Source organism: Homo sapiens, chromosome 7 (genome assembly GCF_000001405.40).
Source record: "Homo sapiens chromosome 7, GRCh38.p14 Primary Assembly".
Lineage (NCBI taxonomy): Eukaryota > Metazoa > Chordata > Mammalia > Primates > Hominidae > Homo > Homo sapiens.
The window spans coordinates 93,874,384-93,893,792 of NC_000007.14; the positions used below are offsets into that span (position 1 = coordinate 93,874,384).

The following is a 19,409-nucleotide window of genomic DNA, read 5'->3' on the forward strand; positions in this document are numbered from 1 at the left end:
CCCAGGGCCCCCCTGCTGTGTGCAGCCTAGGGACTTTGTGCCCTGTATCCCAGCAGCTCTAGCCATGGCTAAAAGGGACAAGGTACAGCTCAGGCCATGGCTTCAGAGGGTGTAAGCCCTAAGCCTTGGCAGCTTCCATGGGGTATTGAGCCTGTGGGCACAAAGAAGTCAAGAATTGAGGTTTGGGAAGCTCCATCTAGATGTGTGGAAATGCCTGGATGTCCACGCAGAAGTTTGCTACAGGGGTGGGGCCCTCGTGGAGAACCTCTGCTAGGGTAGTGCAATTATCTCCCAGTTGGAGATAACTGAATCATGGGGGCAGTTTCCCATATCTGTTCTCATGGTAGTGAATAAGTGTCATAAGATCTGATGATTTTGTAGGGGTAAACCCCTTTCACTTGACTCTCATTGTCTCTCTTACCTGCCGCCATGTAAGATATGCCTTTCACCTTCCACCATGATTGCAAGGCCTCCCCAGCCATGTGGAACTGTGAATCCATTAAACCTCTTTTGCTTTATAAGTTACCCAGTCTTGGGTATGTCTTTATCAGCAATGTGAAAATGGACTAATACACCAGGAAAGATGTGGTTCTGAGAATGTGTCCTACCAGAAATGTTCATTTATGTTTTACCCCTTTCTTCACCTTTAAGACAGTAAAGAGAACTTGTGTTTGAAGAATGCAGGTAGGTATTCCAGTTGCCAGTCCTGGAAAGGAATGAGAACCATGGATTTATTGCAACCATCCTTATAATGTTGGGCCTAACCCCACTGCAGGGAAAGACTGTCAGCCTTTTATATCCACAAGGCTTAACAAATAAAACATGGAATCCTGGGAAATTACTGACACAGGCAAAAGGGCAAGGGTTATAGGTGTTGTGATCAAAACATGACTCCTCTCAGACTTAGCACCTCCAAGACATATCTCAGAAGATGGTGGCTGTGAGTGAGCTGATAAGGCTCAGATGTGTCTGAATGAGGAACATCTTGGCAGCAAAATACCAGGGAGAATATGGATTCAAGGTGGGCCTACATTCCTCTGAAGGACCAGCTGATTTAGAGAAGTGGCTTAGCAAAACAACCCTATCACAGCACAGAGGAGTAAAACTTCCCACAGGTGAAGGTAATTACTTGATAGTACATCCTATTTCATGAAAGAAAAAAAGAGGTACTATTGACAGAGAGAAGAGTTCTCCTTATCTCTAAAGCTGGATGTTCAGAGCTTTCATTTGTAATCAAATATGTCTCCTAGCTCAAAGTAAACTATCCAAGTGAAGCAAAAGCATTATCTTACATTGGTACTAAACCTTCCATTGGTCTTAGAATGGTAGAATACAAAAGTTTGTAATTTGGTAAATAATAAATAATGTGATAAAATAGAGAAGACAGAAATATAACCCTAACTGTATCCTTTGTATTATTAATTTCTTACATTAGAGATAATGATCATTTTGTGAAGGAAACATAGATATTATACACATCCATTTAGTGGGATGTTATTGTTTTTAACTTGAAAACAGATCATAAAGTAAACCTGAATGAATGTTTCCATATGGTTAAGAAATTACTCTTAAAGAGAAATAAAACACTGTAATATTGCAAAAATCAATACAAATCCTAGAAAAAGAAAGTCAATAAATAACCATTTGCTTATTTTTCAAAAAGGGAAAATACCTGTTATTAGCAGTTAAATGTTTGTTTTAACATTTGTTAGGACTATTAACTTAATAATTTTGAAATATCCTTATTTTAAACATAATTGCCTCCTTGGAGCATAACACTTAAGCTTGAGGTTAAACTACCGTGATTATTAATTATGAGAAATGACATTTTCCCACAAAAGTCAGATTCAGAAAAAAATATTTTACATTTTATTATAGACAGAAATATTGTTAAAAAGTGATAAATTGCTTACTCACTTAAAACTGTAGACTGTATTCGAAACACATTTGTTTTTACTATGTAATAATTAAACTGATGATATACTAACATTTATCTACCTTTAATGGACTCAATAAATAAAAAAGGACTGAGACTATATTTTTAAAATGAAAACCTATAGCTAAGAACTCTATGTGAAAAAAGAATTTGTATTTTACAAGTAAAAATAAAGTTATCCTAAAAGATTAATTTTTTTTTTTTTTTTGAGACGGAGTCTTGCTCTTTCGCCCAGGCTGGACTGCAGTGGCGCTATCTCGGCTTACTGGAAACTCCGCCTCCCAGGTTCATGCCATTCTCCTGCCTCGGCCTCCCGAGTAGCTGGGACTACAGGTGCCCGCCACCGCCCCCGGCTAATTTTTTTTTTTGTATTTTTAGTAGAGAAGGGGTTTCACCGTGTTAGCCAGGATGGTCTCGATCTCCTGACCTCGTGATCCACCTCCCTCGGCCTCCCAAAGTGCTGGGATTACAGGCTTGAGCCACCACGCCCAGCTGAAAGATTAATTTTAATATGCAATGCATAATATCAATTTGTCATGAGAATTATAGTACAGTGATTCAGATAAAAAATTCCCAGGAGAGGATGGCTAAGAACAGAGGGCAGACCTCTTCATTATCAAATATCAAAAGAGCTGGCTAAGCAAACGATGCAAGATTAATATGAGATTAACCTCCATTTTAGACTTAGAGGGAAGCAGCTGGCCTCTATTGAAAAACTGTAGTCTAGAACCATATCAGTTTGTGTCTTAGCATCAAATAACAGGTAAGATACAGTTACAAATGCATGCATAGGTTAAGGAGCCTGGGTTCTAAAGGTAGTGTCAACATATAATTTCTATTTTGTATGCCTTAAGAGATATGAATATAAAATCAGATTAGGTTACAAAAAGAGAAAAATCAATCCATGGTCTTTAAAACTTCAAAGAAAATTTTAACACGTTGTTTGAGACTTCCAATTTCCCTAAGAAAATAATGTATATATACAGTAATAATAATCTTTTCACGTAACTTTCCAAACCATACAGATTCATCAGGAGATCTTAATAAAACCACCCATAAGTTACTTATAGAGCAAAACTAAGAAAAAGAGAAAACATAGACTTCTATTTACACATAACTGAGGAAATAATATAAAAATTATGTGAAAAAGAAGAGAATGCAGTAGGGTCCCAGACTTGGTGAAACACAGATAATGTTACCCCAAGGAAAACACTCTTTTTCTTTGGTGTTTTCTTTGGGATAAGACAAGACCTTACTCCAACTAAGGTGTGTGGCCTGGTGGACCAAAGCAATGGCTATTGAGGAATTGGGGGAAGTGGGAGAGGCATGAAAATTGCAGGACCGGAGAGGTGGCAACCTTGTGAGAAGGCATTGCTTAGGGTGGAGTGTGAGGCAACCTAAAAAAAGTAGATATCCTTTGGAAAGAGACTTGATAGTGAATGGAAAGAAGAAATAAAGTGGTGAAAAGTAAGGATCTCATAGAAAGTTAAAAAAGAAAATAATAGAAGTGGAAGACACATCAACTCGTAAAAAAGGCATCATTTATTAAAGGCAGTGTACTTCCATGCACCCTCAGAAGAGAGTGCTCTTGAACTAAGCAACCTAGCAAGCTGCCGAAACCCCTCATAATGCACCATAGGAATGCTTGTTGTTGCTAATCCTGGAAAATCCAAGACACTTTAGAATGGACAGAAAGTCAGGCAACATTTACGTATAACTAGTGTAAGAAAAAGAAAGTGAAACTCAATTGTTTAATTTGATGAAAATAGTCCTAAAATATGCAACAGAGAAAAATGTTGATGCAACATTCAAATATAAAGTCTGTAATCTTTAACAAGCACTGGCAGATATATACATATTTGGATATATGTATATATATTTTAAATAATAAGTGTAAAATTGAACTTAACATGTATAAATAATAAATATATATTCCAATGAAAGCAATATCATTTCTTCTTAATAGGACATGAAAATTGATCTTACATGAAGTCACAAAGAAAATCTCAATAACAACTTGAATGTAGAAATAATGTAAGATCATTTATTCATAAATTATGTATATTTTTATATAAAAATGATTTTACGTATAAATGTTATATATAAATGATTTTATACATAAATGAAAATAATGTAGAAAACTTCTTTGATAGTTCAATAAAAAGAAAAATATAACAAATAGTAAGAACATAATGATAAAAGTTGCAGTTCACTGTGAATACATCTAACAATGTTATATATGAGTATAGATTCAATATACTTAAAATGTAACCAACAAAATCTAGCAATGCATTTAAAAAATAATATACAAATAGGTCATATCATTCAAATACAAGAATGGTATAATATCAGAAGAAGTTTTACATATTTTCCACAGATTATCTTATAAAAACTGTCTGACCATCTTGATTTCTTTTACAGATAGATCATTATTGATGTAAATAAATGCAACTGATTTTTGATGTTGATTTTGTGTCCTGCTACTTTACTGAATTCGATCATTAGTTCTAACAATTTTTGTGACATTTTAAGGATTTTCTACACAGAGGATCATATCATCTGCAAACAAAGATAATTTTGCTTCCTTTTGCATTTGGATGGCTTCTATTTATTTTTCTTATCTGATTGTCCTTGCTAGTATTTCCAGCAATTTTAATAGAACTGTTGAATAGAAGTGCAGAGGGTGGGCATCTTTGTACCTTGCCTTGTACTGTATCTTAGAGGAAAACCTTTCCATCTTTTAGCATCAAATAACAGGTAAGATACAGTTACAAATGCATGTATAGGTTAAGGAGCCTGGACTCTAAAGGTAGTGTCAACATATAATTTCTATTGTGTATGCCTTAACAGATATGAATATAAAAATCAGATTAGGCTACATAAAGAGAAAAATCGATCCATGGTCTTTAAAACTTCAAAGAAAATTATGTTGGCAGTTGGCTTTTTATAAATGGCTTTAGTTATGTTGAGGAAATTTTCTTCTATATGTATTTTGTTGAGAGTTTGTATCATGAAAACATGTTGAACTTTGTTAAGTATTTTTCTGCATCTATTGAGATAATCATATAATTTTTATATTTTATTCCCTTAATATAGGATATTACATTAATTTGTGTATGTTGGCACAGGTACATATAAAGACAATAAAGGATTTTTATTACTATAAATACAGTTAGTAAATCTATTAATGAAGGCAAGAACAACAAAGTTGGAGGCATCACATGTTCTTATTTCAAATTATACAACAAAGCAATAGTAATCAAAACAGTATGGCATAGGCATGAAACACACACATAGACCAGTGGAACAGAATAGGCAGCCCAGAAATAAACCCAAGCACATGTGGTCAACTAATTTCCAACAAGGCCACCAAGAAGAAATGATGAGGAAAGATTAGTTTTTTTTTCAATAAATGGAGTTGAGAAAACTGGATATCCATACATCAGAATCAACTCTAAATGGATTAAATACCTAAACATAAGGCCAGAAACAAACAAACAAAAAACTCGTAGAAGAAAACATAGGGGAAAATCTTGTTGCTATTGGCCTTGGCAATAATTTCCTGAACATCAACCCAAAAGATTAACCAACAAAAGCAAAAATAAATAGGTGGTGCTACATCAAACTAAAAGGTTTTTGCACAGCAAAGGAAGCAATCAACAAAATGAAAAGTAAGCCTACAGATGGGAAGAAAATATTTGTGAAACATATACTTCATGGGGTTAATATCCAAAATATGTAACAACTCAAAGCTATAGTAAAAACAAAAACCAAATAACCTAGTAAAAAATGGGCAAAAGAGCTAAACAGACATTTTTCCAAAGAAGACATAAAAATAGCCAACAAGAATATAAAAATGTGCTTAACATCATTAACTATGGAGGGAAATGCAAATCAAAACCACTATAAGATATCAATTCTGCTGTGCAGAAGCTCTTTAGCACTATTCACAATAGCAAAGACATGGAATCAACCTAAATGCCCATCAGTGATAGACTGGATAAAGAAAATATGGTACATATACACCATGGAATACCATGCAGCCATAAAAAAAGGATGAGATCATGTCCTTTCCAGGGACGTGGATGAAGCTGGAGGCCATTATCCTTAGCAAACTAACACAGAAACAGAAACCCAAATACCACGTTCTCACTTATAAGTGGGAGATAAATGATAAGAATGCATAGACACACAGAGGGAACAACACATACTGGGGCCTTTTGGAGGATGTAGGGCAGAGGAAGGGGAGGATCAGCAAAAACAACTAATGGGTACTACGCTTAATACCTGGGTGATGAAATAATCTGTACCACAAACCCCCATGACACAAGTTTACCCATGTAACAAACCTGCACTTGTACCCCTGGACTTTAAAAAAAATTTTTAATTAAAAAATAACCATAATAAATAAAGATATCACTTTATGCTTGTTAGGATGGCTATTATCAGAAAGTCAAGAGGTGTTTGGAAGGATGTGAAGAAATGGGAACCCTTGTATACTGTTGGGAATTTAAATTGGTACAGACATAGTAGAAAATAATATGGATGTTCCTCAAAAAAATGAAAATAGAACCACCATATGACCAAGCAATCTCTCTTCTGGGGATATACACAAAACACATGAAGTCAGTACTTCAGAAAGATATCTGCACTCCCATGTTCACTGCATTATTCACAATAGCCAAGATAGGAAAACAATCTAAGTGCCCATCCATGAATAAGTAGATAAAGAAGTTGTGAGATATGTATACACATACAGGCATACACTTACACATATATACATACACATGTATATATACAATAAAATATTATTCAGTCTTATAAAAGGATATACTGCCATTTGCAACAACAAGTATGAATCTGGAGGGTACTATACTAAGTGAAATAAGCCAGATACAGATAGAAAAATACTGCACAATCTCACTTATGTGTGGAATGAAAAAAAAACAGTTGAATATATAGAAACAGTAGAGTAGTGGTTACCAGGGATAGGGAAGGGGAGAAAAATGAGACAATGTTGATTAAAAGGTACCAACTTGCAGTTATGTTAAGATAAATAAGTCTGGAGATCTAATGTCAGCAGGAAGACTACAGTTATTAATACTACATGTTGACAATTTGCTCAAGAGTAGATTTTAGGTGCTCTTGCCAAAAAGTAAAGATAGAAAAGAGCAACTAGCAACTATAGAACATGATGGACATGTTAAAATTGCTTACCTGTAGTAGTAATTTCCCTATAAATATGTATATCAAAATACCATTTTGTACACCTTAAATTTACACAATTAAAAAAGTTCAACGTTTGTAATAATCTTGGAAATACCAAATAAAACAATGATAAAATAAAATACCATTTTATTAAAATGAAGTGATTTATTAATATTTTTCTGTTTATACCTAATGTATTGGCCATTTTCATATATTTTTAGTTGGGGATAGATTGATATAATTTGTAATGCACTTTCTCAGTATAAACTAAGGACATTAAAACGTGTATATCTCTTTACTAAGTTATTTCCACCTTAAGAGATCAGAAATGGAGTTATTAATCACTTGGTGGTAAAATTCTGCATTGCTTTTATTTTTAACCTTATGTATTTTATTTTCTATACAGTATACAATTAGCTTAATAATATATTTTGAAATGAAAAAAATAACATTAATTTTACATGAAAAAACTTAGATCTCCTAAGAATAAAACTTCAAGGAAAATAATTAAATACTGCAATAGTACAACTAGGAAGTTGCTCCAGGTTTAGGCAAGCCCATAGGATAAATGATTAAACCTGCTTCAGGTTGGGCAAGGAATACCTCATCAACAAGGAGAAGATTCAACTTGCCAAATAGTTGCAAGGAGGGAATGATATTTTTTTCAAAGAAAGAAACTTATGGTAAGGCTTAAAAAAAGTGTTCCTTAAAGTGCGATGTAACATCGATGTAAAGTGCGATGTAAATTCCTTAAAGTGCGATGATGATTAGGATGTACATCCTAATCATCTGGAGTTGTTGTTTAAAATGTGCATCTTTGAGTGCCAACTCAAACCCACTACGTAAAAACCCCTGGGCACAGGGCATAAAAGCCTGCTGTGTACCTGGTTCTACAGATGGTTCTCATGCACAAAATTTCAGAACCACATTGTAGAAAAGTAAAGCAGTATGACATGCTTTGGAAACTGCAGATAATTTAGTGCAACTGTATTACAGGTTACAGATAATAAGAGATGAATCTGGAAAAGAAAAGAATGTTATGGTACATGCATAAGAATTCTTAAATGACACACAAGGGGCTTGGACAGTATGTGAAGATTCCACAGGAAACCACTGAAGAGTTTTAAGCAAAGGGGTAACCTGATCATATTTTTTTTTCCAGGATTACCCTGGCATCAGTGTGGATGACTGTATATGAGGCAGACATAGATTGGAAGAAAAACTCTGGAGTGTTTTAATTTTTCTGGTATAAGAAGAGGATTAGGAAAGGCTTACTTAGGTACACTTGGTGAATAATTGATTATGTGGATGAAGGGAGAAGAAATAATTTTGGATGATTCTGATACCCATGTTTGCCTGCTTCCATATGTAAGTTTATAACAATATATAGGGGCAAAAGATATTTTAAAGCTACAACTCTGTACTTTTCTACTTTTCCTTATTTTTAATCACAGGACCTAAATTTTACTGGAAACATGAAGCTTATAAAGATAAGTTCCTGCCACTGCAGTAAGTCCATCAGGTCATAAGAAGGCTGATGAAGGATCAAGAGACATCCTTCTCACATTGATTATTTTAGGTCAACTCCTTGGGGACACCCTAGAGATTTATCTCTAGATGCAACAGAGCTAAAATGTCTACAGACATTATTACAATATATGGACAGACATTCCATAGGATATTCTCTGATTGGATAAGATTGTTGGCTAAAAGTCTAACACGACTGTTGGGGGAGACAGCATGCACACTTGGGGGTGCTGTGATCCAGGCAATTTGGAGGCCTCCATTGCAGTTTCTATGGTTAAATATTGTGACAATGTGTGTGCACAGGGGACACATGAGTGATAGTCCAGGGTAATTTTAAAAATACTGTCTTATTAAAAGCCATCCCATTTCTATTTTGACTTTTTGTGTCACAGAATGAGACATTCCTTTTAACCACAGCTGTGATTTGCCTTCACATTGATTGTGGTAAGGAGGAATTTTCCCTTGACTGCAGAATGTCTTGTGACCACTTTATATATTTCTTAATTAAACTAACATGGCAGAGGTAATAGGGCATTAGAATAATTTTATCCAAAATATCTACTTCCTACCCATGCTGATCAAAGAGGTGCAAATGTAGGCTGAGTTGGATCCATGATCCCCTAAGAGCTTTGGCTACATGGGAGACGAAGGGAGCAAATACCAAATCCAGCTTCCCTTTGGGGTTACTAGGAGCCCCCAGAATCCTCAAAGGCTCTGAATCACTCACTCTTCACCTCCATAACACACACAAGATCCTTCTCCTATAATTATTCCCACCAAAAACAGTCATAAATTCAGGCCTTAACCAACCGTTTAATGGCATGCTGCTTTTTGTCATTGCTATCTATTATTTTTTCTTAAAGCACTGCCTCCTCTCTGCCATTTTTAAAAATTTTTATTGACTTGTATGGAGAAACCAAGGTATTTGTCCTGTAGAGTGCCCAACATTATGGATTTACTTTCCTTGGTTTCTTTTAACTTGTTCCCATATCCCCAGTATTTCTCTATAATCTGGCAATATGATAGTGATATCTACAGTCTTGACTATCTTTGGGTTTACTGTGTTTTATTTCTCCAAAAATACTTGATGGGGAGGGTGCACTTATTATTGTATCATATCAGGAAGCAAATAATGTCTATGACTAAACTATTATGGATGTCAAAATGATCTGTGAGTTCAGAGACATTAGCCTGATTTCCCATGAGACTGTCCCCAAAAACTTTTCATACAATTGTTTCAGCACCCAATGGTGAGGGATGCCTATATTCATACTTTTGTTAGGAGTATTTTCTAACATTTTAATGCATGTATTAGGTGGAATTCTATGAATGACATCCATATACTATTTTCCCTGTGGTACAGTTTTTAAAAAATAAACAAAAAAAGGATAAATGCTTTATTCTTTCTGTTAATTCATCGTTTTCAAATGAATGAGATAATGCCCTAGAAACCTCCAAAAGGTACCAAGGAGGTGAGTGTGTGTATATAATCATAAACTCAGATTTCTATATATTTATATACATTGTGGTCATTATTTGTTTTGATGGCCATATTGTCTCATTTTAGGTTAGTGGGAGCTCCTTAATATTGCTCCCGTTTTTGTGACATGATTCATTAGTCTTTGATAGCTTCCTTGATTTCTGGAGTAAGATGGCCCAAGTTTATTTTACATATTTCCTGCCCCAGACCTGGATTCAGCTATTCTCCTAAGAGCACTGGTTCTTAGGAACCAGTGAGTAATAGTATGGAGAGACCACAGTCTTGATGTTCATTGTAACTACTGCTACTGAGTTGTCATTACTTCAAGGACTTTTCAATGGAAAAGTGGGAAATACAGATTTTTTGATAGAGAAAATCAGTTATTAATTTATATGAATATTTCTAATTCCAATTTAAGTCAAAGATTTTTACTTAATTTCTTTCATTGTATACTTGTATCTCATTTTCTCTTAACACTGAAAATCCTGACTTCTAAAGAAATGTAACTACTTGTTTTCTTACAACATAGTATTCTAGATACAATAGGTTCAAAATAACACCAGTATTACCATTAACAATGAGACTACTAAATGCATTTTCACAGTGCACTAAAATCTCAGAATTCACTGCAATATAATTCATCCATGTAATAAAAAACCACTTGTAACTCCAAAACTATTCAAATAAAAAGTAATAACAAATTTAAAAATGCATTTTGAGATTTCTTCAGAATTTTTTCACCTTTATATTCCCCAAAAGACATTCTCATATTAATTTGTGAAGTCATTGAAAATAAGTATATATCTTTTGTGTAGTTTTGCCACTATTTGGTATTCAGTTGGGTTTGAATGCTTAAAGAAATGCTTTTTCTTTTTTATTTAATTTTGATTATTAATTATGTCAAATATTTACATGGTCCAAGATAAAAACTATATCACAGTTATATTTACACAAATATTATCTCCACAACTGTCCACCCCTCTGTTCTCTCCAAACCTCTATAGGTAAACATTTTTAATATCTTTAGTATCTTCTGTGATGTTTGTGTATATGTGTGTTTATTCATACTGTTCTAGGCCCTGTGTTTCTTATGTATCCTGGGAGTCAGAAGATATGCATATATAGATATTTTGCTAACTCCTCATCCATAAAATCTTCAACCAGTCCCTGACTGAAGAGTACCTGGTTTGCTTCTAGCTTTCAGCATCATTCAAAGTTCTCAGGCATATACCTATTTGTCAAAATAACTGGGATAAATTTTTAAATGAAAGATTGTTCAAGCAAAAGGTAAACGCATTTGTCATTTTGCATATTTAATTTGTAATTAAATATGTTAATCTTGCTATGAAAACATAAGAATTTAGAAAAATTGTTTTATTACAGAGAAAGAAAAAACCTATTTCATTGGTATGACCATATTTAATCAATGATAATTTACTGGTGAAATTTAAATTATTAAATTTATGCATGGTTTCTCATGCATGGTTTATATAAATAAACACCTTAAACAGTATAAACATTTGAAAAACTTTACTTTCCTTGGTTTTTTATAAGTTTAGTGGTCTCCAACCCACAATGTCTTAGGAAATAATTTAACAATAGGAAAACCCTTAAAACCATCTATCTCTATGTAAACACAAACATATACATGTGAGTGGGGATTGGTAGATAAATAGATAGAAATTGCTTTCCCAGAGGAGAACATTTCTGGCTTTAATAAATTGATTAGCTTTTTAAATCAGTCAAGAAAGTTAAGATCTTTTAAATAAATCCCCTTATTCATTCATTGTACTGCAATCTAACACAATAAAATGGGAGTAATATTTTTAAAGTGTTGTTAATCTGCGACTTTGTCTTCTTGGGACTAAAATATAATCCAACTTTTAAATGCAAAATGAGTTTTATTTGCTAGTCCTTTTTATTCTCAAATATGTTAAAAGCACATGATTATATTGTCTTATGTTGTTTCAGTTATGATCCTCTTCTGAAATCAGGAATACGACCCCAAGAAATGAGTGAGTCATATTTGCTTTTATATCTTATGCATTGCAAGAATTCAGTCTCACAAACAGTTGAACCATAAATTAAAAATGGTAGACTCACATTTGAATAGCAGCTAGTTATATATAAAAAAATCCAAATTTTTTAAAAAGTGACTTGTATTAATAAAAACTGGTGAATAAATCACCAATGATTTGTTTCCTCATGCTGTCATATTATTCTTCAGATACAACCATAAAGGCAAATAAGCCATAAAGACAAACAAGATGACATATTAAGAATGTTTAAAATTGCTTCTTCCGAATTTTCCGGATTCTACTGGCAAAGCGAAGCTTTGGCATCTTCTTTTTCTTTTTCAAAGCTAAAATCAATAAAACGACAATGAAAATCATACATCTCCAGTCTGTAGGCTCACTATAAATCACTATTTCTGATAAGGTTATTGAGCTCACTTCATCTTATTTTTAAGGACTGTGAAGTCAAAACTCATTATACACTCAGTTAATAATATTTTACCTTTAAGATATGAAGATACAGCTACCGTCTACTGCAGCTAGCCAGTAAAAGCATTTTGACAAAACTGATTAACACTACGGAGATACTTATGTAGAAGTAGTCTAGAAACAGCAATTTGCTATTAGTAAAATGGATAAATAAAAATATAATTTTTCTGATAAGTTATTTATAAAGTTTATCTAAAGGTGGAATAAGAAAACATTCACTACCTTTTGCACATGCACGTTTGCAATCCTCCCTGCTAACAAAGTTATTGTCATTCCCTCCACAGCCAGTATAGGTGAAAGCATCACAGGTTCTGTATCTTGGATTAAAATAATAGCGAGTCACATTGGCAGAGCACAGTCCCTCATCTTTTGGACTGTAGCAAAATGATGGAACTTTATAAAAAAGAGAAGAAAATTAGAAATGTTATAATACCAGAATTTTTAAATTATGGTGATTACTGAAGTAACTGAAGAAAATCTAATCCCATAGAAGCCTCAGTCTGAATCCAAAATATCATACTAAACCTTTAAAAAGATGTGCTTCAAATTGCAGGTAAGCTTACATGCTATATTTTGGTAATTCTAAATTTTTGTAAACTGGATAGAATTTCTTCTGAAGCTACATCTTTGTATCCTTTAAATGTAAAAAGAAGTTAAACCCAAATACCAGATATGGTTAGGTAAAAATGGGGTAAGTTTCAAGGACAATATGTGGCATGATTTGGTAAATTTTGTCGTGTTGGTAGTTTTGCTTTAATGTTTTTAACAGCTCTCATTCCATTATTAATCAATAATATATGCATACTAATTTCCAGGTAACCACTGGAGCAAACATTTATATGTACACAAACAAGAGAACATCCACAGTAACCATCACCACATTAACTCAAGATTTTGCATATTCAACACAGTACAGCTATAAAGCTTTATCAAATTCTCTGCCAAAGCAAGTTTTCCTTGTTTGTTGAACTTTTCAAAAATCTCTGTGTCTGGGGGAAATGCCTGTATTGTCTCCCTCTGCAAACATTAAATACTACTCAAGAGACTATCATTTCAAGGATTCAGGGGTGGTGGTGGGAGAGGTAACAAATGGATAGGACAGAAACGTGTGGAGATGTTTGTGCTGCAATTTGCAATTACTGAAGAATACAGAAATCTAACCGAAAACTTTAGAAAGAAATTTTCAAGTTTCACCATCTTAATTCTGTATATATTCCACTATCTCACATGTATAACTTATTGTGTACAAATCTGAGGTCATAACATTCATTAATGAATACTTTAATCTTTTATGCATAAATTGAGTAGCTGAGAAATAGTTCTAAAGAAACAATTCAGGGCTGGGCGTGGTGGCTTACACCTGTAATCCCAGCATTTTGGGAGGCCGAGGTGGGCAGATCATGAGGTCAGGAGATCAAGACCATCCTGGCTTACACGGTGACACCCCGTCGAAAGAAAAAAGAAAGAAAGAAAGAAAAGAAAGAAAGAAGGAAGGAAGGAAGGAAAGAAGGAAGGAAGGAAGGAAGGAAGGAAGGAAGGAAGGAAGGAAAGAGAAAGAAAGAAAGAAAGAGAAAAAGAAAGGAGAGAAAGGAAGGAAGGAGAGAAAGAAAGAGAAAGAGAAAGAAGAAAAAAAAAAAAATTAGCTGGGCATGGTGGCGGGCGCCTGTAGTCCCAGCTACTCAGGAGGCTGAGGCAGGAGAATCGCTTGAACCCGGGAGGCAGAGGTTGCAGAGAGCCGAGATTGTGCCACTGCACTCCAGCCTGGGCAACAGGGCGAGAGTCCGTCTCAAAAACAACAAATCAGAAGAGGCAGAAAGCAAAAATTTGAATCATGGCTTTGTCACTTTCCAGTCCTAAGAACTTGACAAGTCACTAACTTGTCAAGTAATGTGAAATCATGAAAATGCACATGTTAATTTCGCATCAAATTGAGTTTTTTCCACCCAAATGTCTTTTCAAAAAAGTGAAATAGAAATACCATAAAAATCGTATTTACTTTTCTTTGGTGCGCAGAAGCCCATACAAGTAGCTTCATCTGGAAACCTGTTCTCAATCCGGTTCCGGTGACACCCACCGGAAAAGAATTTTTCACATGTCATGGAACTTAGATTAAAGAAATACTTTTCTGTGGACCCCTCACACTGGTCGTCCACACTCACTTGCAGCCGGCAAACTTTGGGAACTTCTAGGAAAAGGAGGGTAATAGAACAATGTTAGTCAAAAGTAGCCTTCTTATTAAACCATCACTGTATTTTCAGCAACATTTTGTGGGGGGAGAGAAGTTGTATTAGTGTTGGGATAGTAAATACCCAGAATACTCCCATGAATCCAGATATTTACTTTTTTTTTTTCTAACAGTGTATTCAGAGCTGACTCAGCTGTGATGTATCTTTCAAGTTCAGTAGAAAGACTCTCTGTTTTCTCTGGGTGTTCTCTGATTGTACATATGCAGTGAATCAAAGCTTATTCACATGAATACGCATTTTCCCCTGGCTCAGTTCCTTGAATGGAAAAGCCCCATGTTCTCTTACAGGCCTTAACCGATATAATTTAAAAATTAAAAATAAATTAAAATATAACAGTATTATGAATCTCCACCATGTCCCGCAACTAATCCAACACATGTTTGGGTATCGGGACAAAAGTAGAGTTATATAATGAGCTAAGTCACACTTCAATAATAAAATCCACTAAAAATATTTCAGATTGATGGATAATCGACAGAAGGAAATGATGTACTCCAGGAGAGATAAAAATCATAGGTTTGGAATTAATGAAAAATACAGAGAAGCACTTACGTTGTACCTAACACGTTATTCTCTTGCATTTATTATACCCCATGGTGAGGGAACAAATCTTTCCCTGAGTCCGCACAGGCACTGAATTATGATCAATGTCAGTTGGGAGACAGGAAATGTGTTAGTGGTTGTAAATTTGTGATTACTTTTAAGAAACTGAAAACCATGAGGTTTGCTTAACACTTGAGAAAACCCAGGCTAAAACTTCCTGTAGAAAGCGAGACGTGGGAAACTGGCGAAGCTGCTACCAGCCGCCGGCGCAAGGAGCGCGAGAGTCCTGGGTGCGCGCAGGGCACTTACTTTCTATCCTCCAGCAAGCATCGTCGCAAGCCTCCCAGGTGTAGAAATTGTTGGCGTTGCCCTCGCAGCCCCCGTACAGGAACTGGCGGCAGCTCTGCGTGTACCTGTCGTAGTAGTAACGGAGAAGTAGGGCCCGGCAGGGTCCGTAGTCTAGGGGCAGGAGACAGATCTCCGCGTTATTTCCTGAAGAAGGGGCAGAAGGAGAGCAAAAGAGAGGGAAAGTGGTCAGGCGTAGCTCCTAGGAGGAAAGAACATCCCGGGGAGTTCTGTCCCCTTCCGAGCGGAGGGGCCTCTGCAGAGAAAGTGCAAACTTGGGAGCGAGTCCCCCCTGCCAGCGGAGCGCGCGGCAGGGACCTGGAGAAAGCGAGGCTTGGAGGGCGCCTACACGGGGCCCCATGGCCCGCTGCGCCCTCTCCGCCGGTTGGGGAGAGAAGCTCCTGGAGCGGCCAGATACCTGTTGGCTCCTGAGCAGCATCGCCCAGTGCAGCCTCCGTCAGGAAAAGCAGCAGAATCGACAGCCCCAGGGGGCGAGCGGGGTCCATGGTGCAGGGGGTCGGGCGGCCCGCTGGGCAAGGCGTCCGAGAAAGCGCCTGGCGGGAGGAGGTGCGCGGCTTTCTGCTCCAGGCGGCCCGGGTGCCCGCTTTATGCGGGGCGAGCGTCCGGCCGACCCCCGCCGGGGCGGAGCCTGAGGGGTGGCTGATTCATGCACGGGGACTGTCACCCCGCCGCCCCCGCGCTGCAAACTGTGTAAGAGGGAGAGGAATTCCCCGCCAAGTTGAAAAGTTGAACCTGCCTCCCAAACTTTCTCCTGTAGTCCAGACGGGGACGCCCTGAGGGAGCGTTTGTGTCAGTAATGGGAAATCTGCAAGCTAGACGGAAATGACCTGCTAGTGATTGCGCTGTAAAGAAGCCGGAATCCACCTCTTGAAGGCATGAAGTTCAGGTATTTGAAAGGCTGGTGGAGAGAAAGTGCGGAGTTCTTGGGTCAGAGCGGAGCGGGATTCGTTGCAATGGACCTTCAGATTAGATTAGAAATGTAAATAAGTGTATATTTATATTTATACACACAGATTTCAATCGAGTTCTAATTTACATTTAATACAGGCTTATAATATATCGTAGGTGGACAGTTTGATAAATTTTGACAACTGTGTAGCCACCAATAAAGAATTAGAACATTTTGGCTGGGCGCGGTAGCTCGCGCCTGTAATCCCAGCACTTTGGGAGGCCAAGGCGGGTGGATCACCTGAAATCAGGAGTTCGAGACTAGCCTGGCCAACATGGCGAAACCCCGTCTCTATTAAAAACACAAAAAATTAGCCGGGCGTGGTGGCGGGCACCTGTAGTCCCAGCCCCTCGGGAGGCTGAGGCAGGAGAATGGCTTGAACCCAGGAGGCGGAGGCTGCAGTGAGCCCAGATGGCGCCACTGCACTCCAGTCTGGGCGGCAGAGTGGAACTCCGTCTCGAAACGAAGAAAAAGAAGAAGAAGAAGAAAAAAAAAAGAGTTAGAACATTTCCATCACTCCAGAAAGCTCCTGCAGACTTTTTCCTAAATCAATCCTTCCATCCTTAGGCCAGGGGCAAACACTCTTCTCATTTCGATTACCATAGATTAGATTTGCCTATTCTTGAATTTCATATAAACGGAATTATAAAGTATTCACTGTGTAGTATTTCTTTCTCACACTTCCTGTTTTTGAGATACGCCCAGGTCACTGCATCAATAGTCTGTTTCTTTTAATTCCTGCGTAGTCCAAGGTATGAATTTACCAAAACGTATGAATATCCCACAATGTATAAATATGTTGCTGTGTGTATCAATAGTCTGTTCCTTTAAATCATTGAGTAATATTCTAATATATCACAAATGTCTTATTACTGGAATTTGTGTTGTTTCTAGTTTGTTTGGGGGCTCTTATGAAAAAAGCTGCTTTGTGTGGACCTGCAATTTTTATTACTCTTGGATAAAATACTTAGAAATGTTAGACACTGCCAAAGGATTTTTTCAAGATGATTGTACCATTTTACACCCCAACCAAGCATGTATGAAGCTATGTTTTTGTATGTATCTATGTTTTTGGAGAAGAACCATAGCAGCCCAGAGAGATAGCCTTGGGGAGTTCTGAAGATTTGACCAGATCAGTGTATTCCCACACATTTCCTAATGTCAGTGCATCCATTAAAGTTCCCTGTTCCTTTGACATATTAGCTTGTGATCCACTTTTTTTTTTAATACAAACAATTACCTACAGTGAAATTTTACATAAAATATTAAAGATATTTTTGAAGACATTTTAATATACTTGTCTTCCCTTCCCCTTTTCTCTTGTTGTATTCAACATTCTCAAGTAAATAATTATTCTTGACTTCTGAGGATACTGGGGGTAGTTTACAGAAGTTCTCTTTCAAGTTTTCAGGAAGCCCTGAAAAGTATAGGACACACTTGCTCAAAGTGGGTTAATAATCTGAGGTATTTTGCACATTATATCCTTGTGCCAGTTTTCAGTCATTCTGATGTCATGTTACAAGGTCACAGTCCTAGGAAAACCAGCCTGATCTGGAAATGCTGTCAGCTTTGATTAGCAGATGTCTATGATTAAGAATGATAGTTGAAACTATAAGGATAAATGTTTAATTATCACCTCTCCAGTAGGGAAAAATAAATGGGATGGGGATGCTTTGTATAGTTAACTGATTTCTGTGATGTAAATGTGCTCACTAAGGTCAATTTCAAGCTGCCACTGCAGAATCACTGAATGCCGAGGTGGGAAAAGATCTCCAAGAGCCAGAGCTCCCCATGGCCAAAATCTGTGTGAGCTGGCTCTAATGCACCAACCACTGAGACAGACAGCCAGTTTTGGAATGACACATTCAGAGTAAAGTCAGATTAGACCCTCCCAGTTCCTTCAAAATATTATTAGGGGAGGGAATTTTACCACTCATTTACCGAGAATCATATTCAGGAGAAAAGTTGACTCAACTTCAAACTTACCTATATCTATCTTCTGAATAAAATTAAATATATCTTTAGACTAAAATAAAATTCAAGGACTGATACTCAGTTTTCATGGAGCACTGACTACTGCCATTTCTCTTTGTTCTCAGGTGCTGGACACTTTTTGATTGTCTTTCGCTCATACAAAAAAAAAAATGAACCACTGGACACAATGGCTTCTGCTAGTAATCCCAACACTTTGGGAGGCTGAGACAGGAGGATCGCTTGAGGCCAGGAGTCAGAGACAAACCTGGGCAACATAGTGTGATTCCATCTTTACAAAAAAAAAAATTTTAACTTAGCTGGGCATGGTTGTGTACACCTGTAGTCCCAGCTATATGGGAGGTTGAGATGGAAGGATTGGTTAAGCCCAGGAGTTTGAATTTGCAGTGAACTATGGTCGTGCCACAGCACTCCAGCCTGGATGACAGAGTGAGACTCTGAATCTGACTAAAAAGAAAAAAAAAAAAAGATTAGCCCTTTTGTATCAAGACAGACATTTTGGGAAATTGCATCGTGCCATGGAAAAATAGAGTTGGAATTCAGAGGATACCTGGATTTTATTCCTTGCTACATTGGACAAGTTACTTAAAACTCTCTGAGCCTCAGTTTCCTTTTCTAATAGACATAATAACTCTACCTCGCAGATGTGTTATGAGGA

At 36.6% G+C, this 19,409-nt stretch overlaps 1 protein-coding gene and 1 long non-coding RNA gene across 4 annotated transcripts; one reads left to right on the forward strand and one right to left on the reverse strand.

The window, feature by feature from the left end:
* TFPI2 (tissue factor pathway inhibitor 2) lies at positions 11,013-16,370 on the reverse strand. Of its 3 annotated transcripts, none has more exons than NM_001271003.2 (5): positions 16,208-16,370; positions 15,754-15,903; positions 14,652-14,840; positions 12,878-13,048; positions 11,013-12,513 (listed from the first exon to the last, which is right to left on the reverse strand). In NM_001271003.2, exons 1-5 carry the CDS (start codon positions 16,293-16,295, stop codon positions 12,437-12,439), a joined length of 675 nt encoding a protein of 224 aa, NP_001257932.1. In that variant the 5' UTR covers positions 16,296-16,370; the 3' UTR covers positions 11,013-12,436. The 3 variants fall into 3 exon arrangements, with proteins under 3 accessions (NP_001257932.1, NP_001257933.1, NP_006519.1); NM_001271004.2 differs by having other exon boundaries at positions 12,878-12,972; positions 15,754-15,936; NM_006528.4 differs by having other exon boundaries at positions 15,754-15,936.
* TFPI2-DT (TFPI2 divergent transcript) lies at positions 16,511-19,205 on the forward strand. Its single transcript, NR_134235.1, has 2 exons — positions 16,511-16,696; positions 18,859-19,205. It is a non-coding gene; the product is annotated as a TFPI2 divergent transcript (long non-coding RNA).

Excerpts from the sequence above, each read along its gene's own strand:
- TFPI2 (NM_006528.4), bottom strand. The coding sequence starts at position 16,295 with ATGGACCCCGCTCGCCCCCTGGGGCTGTCGATTCTGCTGCTTTTCCTG. Across the intron at positions 15,937-16,207 it reads TGCTGCTCAGGAGCCAACAG|GAAATAACGCGGAGATCTGT; the intron begins GTATCTGGCCGC and ends CCCCTTCTTCAG. Across the intron at positions 13,049-14,651 it reads CTTCTGCGCACCAAAGAAAA|TTCCATCATTTTGCTACAGT; the intron begins GTAAATACGATT and ends TTTTTTATAAAG.